The 17,297-nt window shown below is 42.0% G+C and overlaps 1 protein-coding gene across 8 annotated transcripts in view, besides 1 other annotated feature; it reads left to right on the forward strand.

Annotated features, from left to right (window-relative positions):
- The window catches only part of PTH2R (parathyroid hormone 2 receptor), a 134,815-nt gene that overhangs the window by 7,058 nt on the left and 110,460 nt on the right, over window positions 1-17,297 (forward strand). The window lies entirely within an intron of this gene.
- Window positions 10,062-10,862: an enhancer, noted in NCBI's record as "OCT4-NANOG-H3K27ac hESC enhancer chr2:209241536-209242336 (GRCh37/hg19 assembly coordinates)". NCBI's record gives its function as "activates a minimal SCP1, AML or CMV promoter by ChIP-STARR-seq in naive H9 embryonic stem cells {active_cell/tissue: H9 hESC(naive)}" and the evidence as "EXISTENCE:reporter gene assay evidence [ECO:0000049][PMID:30033119]".

A 17,297-nucleotide genomic window follows, 5' to 3' on the forward strand; every position in this document is an offset into this window, starting at 1 on the left:
TGAAGCTGCTTTCTTACATATTTTAAGTTCGGCTTAAAGGTTTTTCTGTACATCGTGAACTGTAACAAGTGGAATATAACCAGACCGTAGCTTACACTTGTGCCATTTACCAAGTTTTGGCCAATCAAATGTAGCCAACTGTTTGAACTGTATTCAAATAAGGGAAATGCTCAGCTGTAACCAAGCCAACTGTTTCTGTACCTCACTTCTGTTTTCTGTATGTCACTTTCCTTTTTCTGTCCATAAATCATCTTCCATGGCGTAGGTGTGCTGGAGTCTCAGAGTCTATTCTGGCTCAGGAGGCTGCCTGATTTTGAATCATTCATGGCTCAATTAAACTTCTTTAATTTTTTTTTTTTTTGAGATTGAGTTTCACCCTTGTTGCCCAAGTTGGAGTGCAATGGTGCAGTCTCTGCTCACTGCAGCCTCTGCCTCCTGGGTTCAAGCGATTCTCCTGCCTCAGCCTCCTGAGTAGCTGAGATTACAGGCACATGCCACCATGCCCAGCTAATTTTTCTATTTTTAGTAGAGACAGGGTTTCGCCATGTTGGCCAGGCTGGTCTCGAACTCCTGACCTCAGCCTCCCAAAGTGCTGAGATTACAGATGTGAGCCACTGCACCTGGCTTCACTCCTTCAAATTTAATTCAGCTAAAGTTTTTATTTTTTTCTCTTTCTTTTTTTTTTTTTTTTTTGAGACAGAGTCACTGTCACCCAGGCTGAAGTGCAGTGGCACAATCTCGGCTCACTGCAACCTCCGCCTCCCAGACTCAAGCGATTTCTGGCTAATTTTTGTGTTTTTAGTAGAGATGGGTTTTCACCATATTGGCCAGGCTGATCTTGAACTCCTGACCTCAGGTGATCTGCCTGCCTTGGCCTCCCAAAGTGCTAGGATTACAGGCATGAGCCACTGTGCCCAGCCTCAAATTTAAGAAGAAACAGTTAACATGGACTTGCATACCTCCAGGATATTGTGAATACCTCTCAATATTTTTCTAAGTTCTCAAAGTCAAATTAGACTCTATGACAATCACTCAAGGTTCCCTTTGTTTCCAATATGTTGATGACCTGCTACTTTGCAACCAAAGCAAACAGGGTGCTCTTCTGGACTCCCTTACTCACCTTAAGGCACTGACTGACTAAGGTTATAAATCTTCCAGGTCCAAATGCCAACAGGTACAAAAAATTCTTACCTACTTAGGCCATAAAATATTTTAGGGTACTCAAAAACTCGTCCCAAAATGCCTTGAATCAATTTTATTCATTATCTCTCAAAGACAAACAATTACGTGAATTTTTAGGAGCAACTGGATATTGCCAATGGATTCCCAATTTTGCTGCCCATGTCTAACCTTTATATGCTGTCCTCTTAGATACAACCACAGAGCACTTTACCTGGTACTCTGAGGCACCAGCCTCCTTGGAAGCATTGTCCACACCCCAGCCCTTCGACTACCCAACTTTGACAATCTTTTTTACCTATATTACTGTGAAAATGATGGGATTGTTGTGGGTATCTTAGGACAATCTTTTTGTCCCATAACATATTTCTCATGTCAACCTAGATATGTCCCACAGTACCTTTCTCATGTTAAGTAGCATCAGGCATTCCTCCATGCTTATATGCAATAGACTTAGCTGCCATCCTAATTGACAAAGCAAGTATTCTTATACTGCCCCACCATTCACCTCTCTGTTCTCCATGCTGTTCCTCTACATTGGTATCCCTTTCAAAGTGGATCTTGCCTCAACTAACCCTTAACTGTTTTTTTTTTGTTTTTGTTTTTTGTTTTTTGACAATTCTGGCACTACCCCAACACCTGCTTGTTCCAATCTTTCAAAGCCTGGCCACCTTAAATAGTTAATCTGGTTACTGGTTAGGTTAACATCTACATAATGCAGAAGAGTTTTTGTTCCTACCAATGTAAATATACCTGGTGAACCCATTCTGGACAATGGATATATAAAAGCATATGGTATCCATAAGCAGGAAGACAAAGTCACTCTGTCTCCTCCTCTGGTAGATTAATTTGGCACTGGGAAGCCTCCATGGAAGCTCAAGGTCAGTGCTTTACCCAAGTAAGACTATTGGAAGGAAATCTCTCTACATTGAAAATAAATACAGTACTGGACCTTTTCTGGGTAACATTTCAAAAATGTATTGCAATCAAATTCTGTGATTTGGCTTCACAGATGGCACTAAACAACCCTCCACTGTCATTGTTACTTGGATTATAACTAAGTATTTCAATGTGAGTGAATGTCAGATTACAGGATAATATTCCTGGTTTGTAGGAAAAAGTAGTGGGATATGGAATAGCTCAAGTGTTCCCCTAGTTGGCTTGACCAGCACCCATGACTATAGTTGGATGGATGGACCTTAACTTGGTCAATAAATAAAATACATTTCTATAGTAACCAAGGCTAAATTAAAGGGTTTCTCTGCCAGGTGTTTCACAACCTGTTTTACCCTCATAGCCTAACAGAAGCACATTGGAAGTGAAGATGTGCAGATGCCAACATGATTGATGATAAGGGTTGTGAAAGACACAGAATTCCAACTTGGTTGTTCACAGGTTCCACCACTATGACCTTGTCTGTAAACAACACTGGTCTCTCTCTCTTTTTTTTTTTTTTTAGAAGGAATCTCACTCTGTTACCCAGGCTGGAGGGCAGTGGCACAATCTCAGCTCACTGCACCCTCCACCTTCCGGTTCAAGCGATTCTCCTGCCTCAGTCTCCCGAGTAGCTGGGAGTACAGGTGCCCACCACCATGCCCGGCTTATTTTTGTAGTTTTAGTAGAGACAGGATTTCTCCATGTTGGCCAGGCTGGTCTTCACCTCAAGTGATCCGCCAGCCTCGGCCTCCCAAAGTGCTGGGATTACAAGCGTGAGCCACTGTGCCTGGCCTGGTCTCATTTTTATGTAGCAATAAGATATATAAAAGGTTCCCACCTAAGTGGTCAGAGAAATGTGAAGTTGGATATCTGGTGCCTTCCCTTACCAGATATCCCACTTTGAATGCTAGCCACATTACAACTGGGGTTCTTTTATATATAAATTAATGCCATGTAGATGCACCTGATGAGACATCATAGACAACGCACTTATGTATTGCAACCCTAAGTTCTCAGTAATGAGAATGCTTTTCCAAAGCCTGGCAATGTACGATGTAGAAAGAACAATCCTAAGCATTCCAAAGTAATGAACAAGCATCTGGTGCCACTATACAGACTGGGAAGCCTGCCATTTACAAGTTAGCAGTGTAGCCTCTGTTGCACTCCAAAATTGTGTCCTAGATATGCTGACTGCCCAACAGAGAGGAGCTTGTACAATCACTGGCAACAATGCTACTTCTATATAAATTAGAAAGGAAAAATTGTGTCTAATCTATATCATTTAAAAAGAAAGGTTGGCCGGGCACGGTGGCTCACGCCTGTAATCACAGCACTTCGGGAGGCCGAAGCGGGCGGATCATGAGGTCAGGGGATCGAGACCATCCTAGCTAACATGGTGAAACCCTGTCTCTACTAAAAATACAAAAAATTAGCCAGGCATGGTGGCGGGCACCTGTAGTCCCAGCTACTTGGGAGGCTGAGGCAGGAGAATGGCGTGAACATGGGAGGCGGAGCTTGCAGTGAGCAGAGATCACACCACTGCACCCCAGCCTGGGCGACAGAACGAGACTCCGTCTCAAAAAAAAAAAAAAAAAAAAAAAAAAAAAAAAAGAAAGGTCAACATTCTACGTTAGGTAAATAAGGCATAGTCCAATTAACTGAACTGAACTGACCTATTCCCACGACTGGGAGACTGGTTCAACAGAATATGGACCAGTGTGTTCAGATTTTTCTCTGTTGTAATCTATGTTCTTCTTTCATTTTGCAGATCTCTTACCTCCCAGCACCTAATATGAGTCTTTTCTACATAGGAAATAATCCAAATATTTGTGAAACTTCATGTGAAGTTTCAAATGGGGGAAGTGAAGGAACGAACAACCCACCTCCTAACCCCAATTTATACCCACCTGTGTTAGTTCATTTGTATTGCTATGAAGAGATACCTGGAGGCTGGGAAATTTATAAAGAAAAGAGGCTTAATTGGCTCACAGTTCTGCAGGGTGTATAGGCATGGCATCAGTATGTGCTCAGCTCCTGGTGAGGGCTTCAGGGAGCTTACAATCATAGCTGAAGGTGAAGGGGGAGCATGCATCTTACATGGTGATAGAGGGAGCAAGAGAGAGGGTCGGGGGGTGCCAGGCTCTTTAAACAACCAGCTCTCATGTGAAATACCAGAGCCAGAACTCACTCATCACCATGGGGATGGCACTAAGCCATTCATGAGGGATCTGCCTCATCACCCAAACACTTCCCAGTAGGCCCCACCTCCAACTTGGGGATTGTATTTCAACATGACATTTTGAGGGGACAGATATCCAATATTCAAACCATATCACCACCAGAAAGGCATAAAGATTACTTTAAACTGAAAATATTGGAACAAACAATCGCTGCGGAAAGCAGCCTTATCTGACCGAAAGCAGACCTGTCCAAGAGTTCTGCTATCATCAACTCCTTCTGAGGGACTTTCCAGACAGCGAGGTGACAGATGTTTACAAACGTGACGTTAAAAAATAAAGTTGTGTAAATGAGTCTTATCAGAACCTTTTATACTTTCTCACTGAAGCCTCAGTTGGTATATAAACCCTTACCACTGGCTGTTTGGGAAGTGACTCCTTACAGAGTGCTCCCTCAGGCATGGAGAATAAACTTTTCTCCTGTTAATGTATTTTCAACTAATTCGCAGGCCCTAGACCACTCAGATCTAAGTTGACAGATGAAATGTTTTCCTCCCAACATGACCAAGCTTATAGTGCTTTTATGGTATATCTGTAGAGATTGCGGTCAGGCATAACATTGTTTGTTAGGGTTGCAGTACCTTTCAGGAAATGCTCAAAGTTTAATTGATTTAGGGGACTTTCACTGGATGAGATGCCTCTCTGAGTCATCATAGGTTGCAAAGTATTAGTTTTTTGCCACTCACTGTGTGTTGTGATATGACATACTCATAATGGGGTAGGACAAGATGTCAGTTTTGCTTCCAAACTTTCCTTACTTGTTTCCTTTTTGGTTCACCACTAATGTTGAAGAAATGCAAGATGGAAAATCTCAATAGTTGACACTGATTGATTGATTGAGATGGAGTCTCACTCTGTCACCTGGGCTGGAGTGCAGTGGCGTGATATCGGCTCACTGCAACCTCCACCTCCCAGGTTCAAGCAGTTCTCCTGCCTCAGCCTCCCGAACAGCTGGGATTACAGGTGCCCGCCACTACTCTCAGCTAATTTTTTGTATTTTTAGTAGAGATGGGGTTTCACCATGTTGGCCAGACTAGTCTCGAATTCCTAACCTTGTGATTCGCCCGCCTCGGCCTCCCAAGGTGCTGGGATTACAGGCATGAGTAGTTGACATTTATTAAGTGTTTATATGTGATAAGCACTGTTAGATTATCCCATGTAATACATCACTTGATTGATTTAAGAGATTGTCATTTGAAAGATTAAAGAATATTTCCCAGAAAGGATGCTTGGTCAAGCCTCATCATCCTGGGATGGATGGGACCTTGGTTTTGGGCAAGTTTATTACAATTTAAGACTATTCTAGGTCATGGAAGTGTGTGTTAGGACATATAAGTAGTTTTCTTGTCCAGAATACTTTGTAATAATATACCCTAAGTTTGATCAGCTTTTTGGCATTCACTTAATTAAAATGTTCACAAGTAGGTACATTTTTAGAATTGTTAAGTAATATACTATTTGTAGTAGCAAAACACTACAAACAAATACCTAATATAATAAGAGGGAGTGGTTGAATAAACTAGGGCATGTCAACTAAAAAACATATTTGAAATGCAGGGAAAATGCTTACTCTAGGCAATAGTTACAACTTTTGTCCATTATAGGTACATAAAGGAAAAGAGTACACAAAGAATTCTATTAATGATGAAATTAGGAACAATGTTCCCATCCCCAATTTATACCCAAAAGAAAATATGTTCTGGCTGGGCGCGGTGGCTCATGCCTGTAATCCTAGCAGTTTGGGAGGCTGAGACAGGTGGATCGCCTGAGCTCAGGAGTTCAAAACCAGTCTGGGCAACATGGCAAAACCCCGTCTCCACCAAAAATACAAAAAATTAGCCAGGCGTGATGGCACATGCCTGTAGGTCCAGCTACTTGGGAGGCCGAGGTGGGAGGATCGCTTGAGCTCGGGATGTGGAGGCTGCAGTGAGCAAAGCTCACACCACTGCACTCTAGCATGGGTGACAGAGTGAGACCCCGTCTCAAATAAATAAATAAATAAATGAAAACTTATATTCTATAACATGTATTCTTATGTCTTTGGCTAAAACAAAAGAGAAGAAAAATAAGTAGAGAGCTAAGTGAAGTGAAGTGTCTTGAAACAGATAAGCCATAAAGTGAGATATATGAGTAAATGAGTAGTTGCTGGCCTAGGAATTGTTTCTGATGTTTTCACCTATTGAAAGAATTTTTTTCTTTTTGTAAATCTTTTTTTTGGTTTGTTAAACTGAAAAATAAAAGCAATGAAGAGATAATATTGCTGTAGTAATGTCCCTTAGTGCATCCTTGGAGTTAGTTGTCTTGAATTTGGCCTGCTCTGATTGTCATTTGCTGTTTGCTGCATTGAAAAAATTTCAGATTTACAAAAATATGTGTGCCAGGGTGGAGGAAATTTTTAACTTGATGAATTCTCACCTTTAGGACACTGTCTGCTCTTATATGGCACTTAGCAAGATGCTGCAACAATTGTCCCTGCTCATACTGTTGGAGGAAGAGGGTATTTGCAGGGAGATTGCTGGAGTCAAGATGATCCAAATTTAAATTGCAGTGGTGAGCAGTGGCCACTAGAGGGCTGTGAAGTACTTAATTCTAAAATTTCCACATTTTAATCTGGAGCAGAGGAAACTCTGGAAGGACCACTGGGACTAAGGGAGCTCAATCCCAAACATCTTTATCTGAGCCCTAAATGTCTTCTACGTTATTCTTTGACAATACTTTGTTACATCTCAGAATTTGTAGTTTTGAGGTGGAGGTTTAAGTTAGAAATAGTTTAATATATTCTATTCCAGAATATAATTCGCTTTTTTCCAAATGAAACTGGCACTAAAAGCTTTTTACTTGAAAGCAAATACACTTCATATGCTTTATGTATTTTTGTCCCTATATCATTGAAATAGTAGATTCAAGGCTGTTTGTAAAAATAAGTGACTATACTGCATATAGGAATAGCCCCACCTTAAAGACTTTGATTTTAAGGACATTAAGTGGGAGGGTCTTTTTTGCCTTTTTTTTTTTGACTATCAAAATACTTTCACATTTCTTCAATTCAAAGAACAACTGTTCTAAATTTAGAAGACAGACAAGTGAAAGAGAATATGCTGCCATTTCCGATGGTTCTTTTTTACTCTTGATCCATCACTCTCCTGTCTTTGGCTGACTCTTTCTCCAAAAAGTACCCCTTATTTTTCCTATGCCTTTAACTTCTGTTTTACTTACTCTATTGTAGAACTTTGAGAAGTTGTACACCACATTCACTGCTACCTCACATTAACTCTGCTTACTCATTGCAGTCTGCCTTCTGCTCCTCAATGATTGCTCCTGTGAAGGTCATCTTTGGTTTAGCACTTGTTTGAAATCTAATAGCCTAAATGCACATCGATTACTGTTTAGAATTCAAACGACATTTATTTATTTACTTTGAGATGGAGTTTCATTCTTGTCGCCCAGCTGGAGTACAATGGCATGATCTTGGCTCACTGCAACCTCCACCTCCCAGGTTCAAGCGATTCTCCTGCCTCAGCCTCCTGAGTAGCTGGGATTACAGGCACCCTCAACCACGCCTGGCTAAGTTTTGTATTTTTTTTAGTAGAGATGGGGTTTCGCCATCTTGGCCAGGCTGGTCTCGAACTCCTGACCTCAGGTGATCTGCCTGCCTCAGCCCCACAAAGTGCTGGGATTACAAGCGTGAGCCACCACGCCCGGCCCAAATGACATTTATTTTTAAAAGCAACTAAACCAGGAAAGACCTTCACTCATTCAATCAAAAAACATGCATTGAACACGTATTCTTGGCTAGATCCGGTGCTGCAAAGATGAAAGACGCCACTCCTAGCCTCAAGGAGCTTGCAGTTTAGTGGTGGCACTGGATGTAAAATAATCATAAGATGTGAGGTGAAGACTGATGAGGTCTATTTTGTTGACACAGGTAAACATTCTCAGAGAATATTTAATTAGCAACATGACAAAAATTAGTTGATTTATTTGAAGGATATTTAAGTGAATTTAGAGATGAGATTTGTTTTTACTTTTTTAATTTCAGAGAGTTATGTTGGTTGCAAAAATCTTTGTTTTCTAGTATCTATTTTATAAGCCATCTGAGACCAGGATGTTTTCTTTTTAACATGTAAACTTGATGCAGTCTCTTTGTAAAGTAATGAATCCCCCCGTGAACCTCAAGGAGAAGAAAGTTTAGCTTGAACACTTAATTTCAAGTACCTTGAGAAGGGAACAGGCTGTATTGCTCAGAGAAGAAGGCTCTATTAGCTAAGGTAGAAGGACAATGTAAAACTCTTGTGAAGACACCTAAATGTCATTCCACTCAAAGCCCATTATTAATAATTTGAAACTGTCTGCTCTGTGAAGGCAACGACCTATCTTTACTCATTTTTGACTCTGCTAACATTTCTTTTTATAGTTGAACTAGAGGCAAGGCAAGGAACTTGACATGCTTGTTTTCCCTTTAGAATAAAGTGGCCAGAAGCAGTTTCTTCTGTGTGATCCAACACTTTCTTATCCCCAGAGCAACTCTGCATAGTCTAGATGTACCAGAGCCCAGCAGCCTGTGAGGTGATGTGATGTGATGTGATGTGAACAGAAAGGCTCCATGTTGGATGATGCCTATGAATCTAATCAGATTCTCTTTCTTGGTCATTTTGATTTCCAGAGAAGGCAGTAGAAGCAGGTTCTGTGTGTATAACCAGAGACTAGAGGGAGGAACTGACAGGGAAGCTGGGTCATGAGAGTGGTGTGCTCAGCAGAGTAGGGAGTAAGAGAGAGCTGGCTCCAGAGAGGATGACAAAATGCCCATGTCTCCAGCACTTCTTTAGCATTCTGAGTTCCCATCCTATCATGAATAGGAAGAGTTTTCTAGCTCTCCATGAAGCCGAAATAGGTTTCAGACTTTCCTTTCTTTCCCACACACATAATAAATACCCATCAGGTAACCTGGGCATGGCCTTTTATTTAGGCACTAACAATTCTAAAAGGAATTAATAAATGCTTCACTGCCATTTCACAGTGTAACAGCATGCCAGTTTACCATACCATTAACATTTAGCCTCGTGGTATTTCTGTGTTTTTTCAGTCAGTAATGATGGCATTTTTGCCAAGATAATATAGTGTTAAACTGTATTGGTTGAAATCCTAGGCTTTTTAAATGTAAACTAGCACTTTACAAAGTATTACAAAGGAAACGAACCAGGGAAACTTGAGAAGGAACTTTCTTATCCACATTGTTATAGGTTATAAAATAGTTCCTATTTAAATTAAAATACCTACTGTTGCACTTTTATGTGTGTTTTTATATATAAATAACATCTGGGTTGGCAAATATGTGATTTTCGTCAAATAGGCTTTGATTGAAGATGAAATATTTTTGTAAAACTAGTCCTTTTTTAAAGTTAAAATTTTATGTTACCACATGAATTGATCAGCAGAAATTTATTTACATTATGTAAATTGATTTTTAAGAGTATCCACAAGGTTTTAGCTATTATTTTTGAACTTGCTTCCTAGCCCACACAATTAAGTAATAAGAGTAAGAAAAAAGAAAGCACACATCCAAATCATCTATCAAAACCCAGCTTCTACCCAATGACACATCATTTTATTTCTTGATCTTGTAATGTTGAGCACATGCCTTGGACATATTCCTATATGTGGGCTCTATTCTCTGCAGCACGTCACTCCCTCTTTTATCCGCCCCTCTTATGTGCTCCCACTCCTATCCTCTTCAATTAAAAATGCCTCTTTCTTTTTTTTTTAAGTTAATTAATTAATTAATTTTTTTTTATTGATCATTCTTGGGTGTTTCTCGCAGAGGGGGATTTGGCAGGGTCATAGGATAATAGTGGAGGGAAGGTCAGCAGATAAACAAGTGAACAAAGGTCTCTGGTTTTCCTAGGCAGAGGACCCTGCGGGCTTCCACAGTATTTGTGTCCCTGGGTACTTGAGATTAGGGAGTGGTGATGACTCTTAACGAGTCTGCTGCCTTCAAGCATCTGTTTAACAAAGCACATCTTGCATGGCCCTTAATCCATTTAACCCTGAGTGGACACAGCACATGTTTCAGAGAGCACAGGGTTGGGGGTAAGGTCATAGATCAACAGCATCCCAAGGCACAGGAATTTTTCTTAGTACAGAACAAAATGAAGTCTCCCATGTCTACTTCTTTCTACACAGACACAGCAACAATCTGATTTCTCTATCCTTTCCCCACCTTTCCCCCTTTCCTATTCCACAAAAACCGCCATCGTCATCATGGCCCGTTCTCAATGAGCTGTTGGGTACACCTCCCAGACGGGGTGGTGGCCGGGCAGAGGGGCTCCTCACTTCCCAGAAGGGGCGGCCGGGCAGAGGTGCCCCCCACCTCCCGGATGGGGCGGCGGCTGGGTGGAGGCGGGCCCCCACCTCCCTCCCAGACGGGGCGGCTGGCCGGGCGGGGGCTGACCCCCCACCTGCCTCTGGGACGGGGCGGCTGGCCGGGCGGGGGCTGACCCCCCACCTGCCTCCGGGACAGGGTGGCTGCTGGGCAGAGGGGCTCCTCACTTCTCAGACGGGGCAGCTGCCGGGCGGAGGGGCTCCTCACTTCTCAGACGGGGTGGCCGGGCAGAGACGCTCCTCACCTCCCAGACGGGGTCGCGGCTGGGCAGAGGCGCTCCTCACATCCCAGACGGGGCGGCGGGGCAGAGGCGCTTCCCGCATCTCAGACGATGGGCGGCCGGGCAGAGACGCTCCTCACTTCCTAGACGTGATGGTGGCCGGGAAGAGGCGCTCCTCACTTCCCAGACTGGGCAGCCAGGCAGAGGGGCTCCTCACATCCCAGACGATGGGCGGCCAGGCAGAGACGCTCCTCACTTCCCAGACGGGGTGGCGGCCAGGCAGAGGCTGCAATCTCGGCACTTTGGGAGGCCAAGGCAGGCTGCTGGGAGGTGGAGGTTGTAGCTAGCCGAGATCACGCCACTGCACTCCAGCCTGGGCAACATTGAGCACTGAGTGAACCAGACTCCGTCTGCAATCCCGGCACCTCGGGAGGCCGAGGCTGGCGGATCACTCGCGGTTAGGAGCTGGAGACCAGCCCGGCCAACACAGCGAAACCCTGTCTCCACCAAAAAAATACGAAAACCAGTCAGGCGTGGCGGCGCGCACCTGCAATCCCAGGCACTCGGCAGGCTGAGGCAGGAGAATCAGGCAGGGAGGTTGCAGTGAGCCGCGATGGCAGCAGTACAGTCCAGCTTTGGCTCGGCATCAGAGGGATACCGTGGAAAGAGAGGGAGAGGGAGACTGTGGGGAGAGGGAGAGGGAGAGAAAAATGCCTCTTTCAATATGTAAGGTAAGATTGATAGATGATTGCCTTCCGTAGTTCCTCCCAAAATTCATAGGTTGAAATCTTAGCCCTCAGAGTGGTGGTATTAGGAAGTATGGAGCCTTTGGGAGATAATTAGCTCAGGAGGGTGGAGCCCTCCCGAATAAATTTAATGCCTTTATAAGCAAGACCCCAGAGAGCCCTTTCACCCTTTTCTACCCTATGAGGACACAGCGAGAAGACAGCTGTCTGTGAACCAGGAAGCAGGCCCTCACTACATACCGAATCTACAAGCAACTTGATCTCAGACTTCCCAGTCTCCTGAACTGCGAGATATAAATGTTTGCTGTTTAAGTCACCCAGTCTAAGGTATTTTTGTTATAGCAGCCTGAATGGACTCAGGCGGTAGGCAAGAGGAGGACAGTGCACCTGAGTTATACATTGGGCAAGTCATTTACCTTCATTGGAGCCTCGGTTTACTTGTGTTAGATATGGGAATAATGATAGTTACACTGCAGGGTGGTTGTGAAGATTAGAGAAAGTGCATATACTCTGATCAGCACAGTGCATGGTACTTCAGTACACAGTGTTAACTGAAGACACAGTGTTAACTGAAGACACAGTTGAAAACTAAAGATAGCTAGTGAAACACATGTTCTCTGCACATCATACAGTTTCTTGGGCAGTTTTCAAAGTGTGACTCTGCAGTTCATACCACCATTATCACTTAGTCTCTAACAAATAATCATATTTGACACATTTGGCTGGGACTTAATAATTTTATTTGGGCAGCAGCTGGTTTCTGGAAGTGTTCATGGGAAGAAAATGTATATTAATAAAGTTAGCAGGTAATGTTCTTTGTTGAAATGTTGGATATTGTGGGACACAAAAGAGTCAGGGTAAATGTACATTTACAGAATTGAGCGTCAGAGTGTCATAGTTCTCTAATGATTTACAAAGAAAGAATTCCTGGAACAAGTGAAATACTTAATAATTAATTCAGCCTGTATTTCTGCAGGTAATCAACTGCAGTGATAAAAAAATAAAAATGGAACTGTCTTTTGCTCATTGGAAAGATATTTGCTGCATTCAAAGTCATCAAAAAGGCGAAGCAATGAAACTTAAGACTTTTGGGTTTTAATAATTAAAAATCCATCTTAAAGAGAACCTTGGGCTCTGGCACGGTGGCTCATTCTTGTAATCCTAGCACTTTCGGAGGCCCAGGTGGGCGGATCACTTGAGGTCAGGAGTTTGAGACCAGCCTGGTTAACATGGTGAAACCCCATCTCTACTAAAAATACAAAAATTAGCTGGGTGTGGTGGTGTGCGCCTGTAATCCCAGCTACTTGGGAGGCTGAGGCACGAGAATCACTTGAACCTGGGAGATGGAGGTTGCAGTGAGCCAAGATTGTGCCACTGCATTCCAGCCTGGGTGACACAGTGAGACTCTGTCTTGAAAAAAAAAAAAAGAGAGAGAGACCGTTTGTGAAGGTGTGTTACACAGAGAATTCCTGATTCCTAATCTCCAGAATAGAAAAATTCAAAGGCTCAGAATCATCCCAAATCAATTATCCAGTGGCATCTGCATTTTCCGATTTCATTCTCACTAGCCGTGTGAACATGGGCATGACCCCAGGAGCCAAGGAATTCTCTAATGCCTAAGGACAGCCATGAGGTCAATGAATAACATGTGTCAGGTTTCCCTGGCACAGAGGAGCTTCCCAGTAAATGTTATTTTCCTTAGCTATTTCCCATTTAACATGTCAATTATTCTTAGTGAGTTTCCATTCAATATGAGAGTTTATATAATTTGTCATATTGAATAGGAACTTGCTAAGGAAAGCTGTGTAGCAGAGGAAGCAGCCCCAAGTGACAGGACATAAACTTTAAATTCACAAGATGCTTGTATGTGAATTATGATGGTATCTGAATTAACAGTGATATTTACAGTTTAGTAATACATTTTTCTTCCCTTGTCTTGGGCTTTATAAAAACCCTGTAAGTCATGTATGTCAGGAATTTTATCCTCATAATTGAGAGAAAAATACTCCATATTTTATTGGAAATAAGATCAGTAGATTCTCTGTATATCATACAATGTCTTGCCTACTTAAATTATCACCCCCCTTCCTATTTCAACAAAGACTTTCTCTAAGTACCCCTGGCCTCTTGCCCTGATCCATACTGTTCTCCTTGGTAATGGAGTGAGTTTCCTGCCTGGTGGGTGCAGCCATTGGCCACATTTCTCTAGTGTATGGAACTCACCGGATAAAAGGCCTCAGATGTAGGTCTCTTTCTGCTGTCTTCACCCAGGTGTTGTGGAGTGTGTCTGTCCTTGAGCACTAGCTTTCCCCTGTGTGGGCTGCCTCAAGGCCTGCATTCATCAGGTAGGGACTGTTAGCTGGTAGACCTAAGCCACCACTCCAGTACTGACTGTCAGTAAGGAAGGTGACATGCTGACCTCCATCTGCTACATCATTGTGTATATGTCTTCATTAGTTCTGCATATTGGTGAGAAAATGGATGCTCTGATTCCTCTTGAACCCCAAGAGAATGAAGGTAAAAAAATTGAGGTCCTAATGCAAATTTTCTTAGTACACCCAAATCTTTGGATAGAGTCCTGCACTCTTTGAGATATATCACACAATCTGTCTCACTTTCTTTTCGCATATGTTATATATTTTAAAACTTTTGTTTTTGGGGCCACCACTTACTGGCTCTGTGATTTTAGGAAAGCTTTTCAGACCCTCAGAACCCCAGTCTCTTCATCTCTAAAGTAATAAAATATATGTAAAGAACCTATTTCAGCATGTGAATTCTGTTTTCCTTTTTCCTCTAGATGTATCATATCCAGTTAAAAAAAAATCTACTTGAACTTTGCAGGTATCTTCAGTGTTTATTACTTCTCATTTTTAACATTTATTGGAAATTAGCATATTGTCAGAATTGATATAATACAATATGTAACCTCTTTCATTAAGCTTATCATTTTTAAAATACAAATAACTATTCTTTACTTAAATTTTTATTTCTAGACACAGGGTCCTGCTCTCTCGAACCCAGGCTGGAGTGCAGTGGCACAATCATAGCTCACTGCAGCCTCAAACTCTTGGGCTTAAGTGATCCTCCTGCCTCACACTCTGGAGTAGCTGGGATTATAGACCTGAGCCATGGTGTCCAGCATGACTTAAATTTTGAATAAGTTGCACTTACTAATTACACTTACACTGCTGCATCTGAAAGAGTAATACAACAATAGAAGCCTTTTATAGTAATTATTTGTGGCAGGTAGACTCCTAAAATGACTCCCAAATGACCCACACCCTTGTACAATCAATACCCTGTCCCTTGAGTGACAGTGACTTGCTCTAATCAGTTGGCTTTCAGTTAATCAAAAGAGAGATTATCTTGGGCTGAACTAAACTAATCCCAGCAAGATAACAGGGACTTCAGTCTTGCAAACAGATATCATATAAAGGGAATCATATCTGCACATTTGATTCTTGGACCCTGGGTAGGAATTTGTTAGAGAGCAAGGATGTGAATAAAGGTGGGAAATAAAGGTGTATCTGGTGTCTCTGCTCAAAAGCTCACATGTAGCTACAAGGCAGAGATTTAGGGGAGTGGTATCCACAGTCAAGAAGAATTAATACATAGTGTTTGAGTCTGGCTTCTTCCAATTAGCATAATGCTTTTGAGGTTCATCCATATTGTTGCATTACCAGTAGTTTTTATTTATTTATTTTATCAGTAGTTTCTAAATTGTTGAGTAGTATATTACATTGTGTAGATATATCCTGTGTGTTTATCCATACACATTTATGGATATTTGGGAGTTGCTAGTTTTTAGCTATTCTATGAGCATTCACATACATGTCTTTGTGTGGAAATAGGTTTTCATATCTCTTGGGTAAATATACGGGAGTGGAATTGCTAGATCATATGGTAAATACTCTGTATACTTAAAATGAAGAGAAACTGTCAAACTATTTTCCATAATGGCTCTACCATACTTGATGTTTTAGAAAAGAGGAAAAACACTAGCAATTTTGATGCTGTATGTCTACAACCTAAGAGAATCTAATAATAGCGTCCTGGTCTGTCAGTGTAGGAATTGCCTAGGTAATACATGGAAGGTGTGGAGGGAGCAGGTACACAGAAAATGTGCGTCAGAAAGTTTTGCTTTTCCTATCCCACGTCATTTCTGAGTCTGATCCTCCCTACTCCTCACAAATAAATTGGTAGATTCATCTGTTTTTGGACCCTTTTCTGCTCTAGTTACTGAACTATCAGAGACTTCAGGAAGAGCTTAAGCTAAGCTATTCCAGGGAAGTTTTGGTGTTACTCTGTACTTACGGACTCCTGCGTGTCTGTCTCTGTCACCCCAGCTGCCAACTCAACTTAGAGTTTATTAGCCTGGCATTGACCAGCACACTGTGATATTCTCTGAGGCACACTGCATGCTGCTAGTGTGCCCTGGTTCATAAAGCTGGGCCTTCAGCATTGATCCCACTCCAAGTTCCTTGCTCTGTCTTCCCACAGCTGTCCCCTTGGGGGATGTGGGGGGTCTGACATCATTTGCATTATTAGTCTATTCCAAGAAATGCACCTGTGCACTAATCAGTTCACTTTTTCTGTCTTAGTCGGCAGATCTAGCCATAGCCCAATCCCTCAATTTCTATACTAAGCCTTTTATATTAGTAAAACTGTTATGTTATCTAGAAATTCATCAGTGGGAAAACTACTTCAAGGGAGGTAGTTAGAGGCTGCAAGGTGCTAAATATTTTTCTTTCTTTCTTTTTAAATGTAACTTGGATCTAAAGTAAGGACGAATTTCCTTTTATTATTTGTTCAGAATATACCAGCTGGTCCTGTGGGCAGAAGTTTGTTAAGGGGCCTGGATGTGAAATAACAGTGTATCTCGTGTCTCTGCTCAAGAGCTCACATGTAGCTACAAGGCAGAGATTTAGGGGAGTGGCATATACGGCCAACTGAGAAATAACAATATTGTCAGGGACTCCAAGGCACTTTGGAAGATATAAAGAATTTCTTAAATTTTCTTGTAGAATTGTTGCAAAAGGCAGACATGCTTAAATGTTTAAATAAGCTTCTTGAAAACTCATGGAACATTCAATCACAACTCCAACAGTTCTCCAAAATTTGATTTATTCTGGCCATATTATGCAGCAAAGAAACACTTGGCTATTTATCTAAATCTCTTCTGTCTTGTAAATGATCCTAGAAAATAATCTAGAAATACATTTTATTAAAGTAATGCATGAGGTACATATCGATTACCAGCCAATAGTTGAACTTAAACATAATGCATGGGTGTGAGGGCTGGCATTGATGATTCACAATGAACACAGTTGAATATCACTTCCCTGCTGAGACTCGGGTATCATCGCAAAACCACAGTGAGCATCAGTGGGGATCTGCATGCTCTGGTCAAGACAGATCTCCATGCTGAGTGTCTGTTTGCCATGATGAAGAGAACAGTCAACAGGAGTGTTTGCCATGATGTAGAGAACAGTCCGGGAGGAGTGAATGGAGGATGGGGGCATGAGGAAAGATGAGGCTTTCTCTAGTTATGACCCTTTGTGTAGAAGTTAGGAGTAGGGGATAAATGTTTCTGCCTAATA

Source organism: Homo sapiens, chromosome 2 (assembly GCF_000001405.40).
Source record: "Homo sapiens chromosome 2, GRCh38.p14 Primary Assembly".
Classification (NCBI taxonomy): Eukaryota; Metazoa; Chordata; class Mammalia; order Primates; family Hominidae; genus Homo; species Homo sapiens.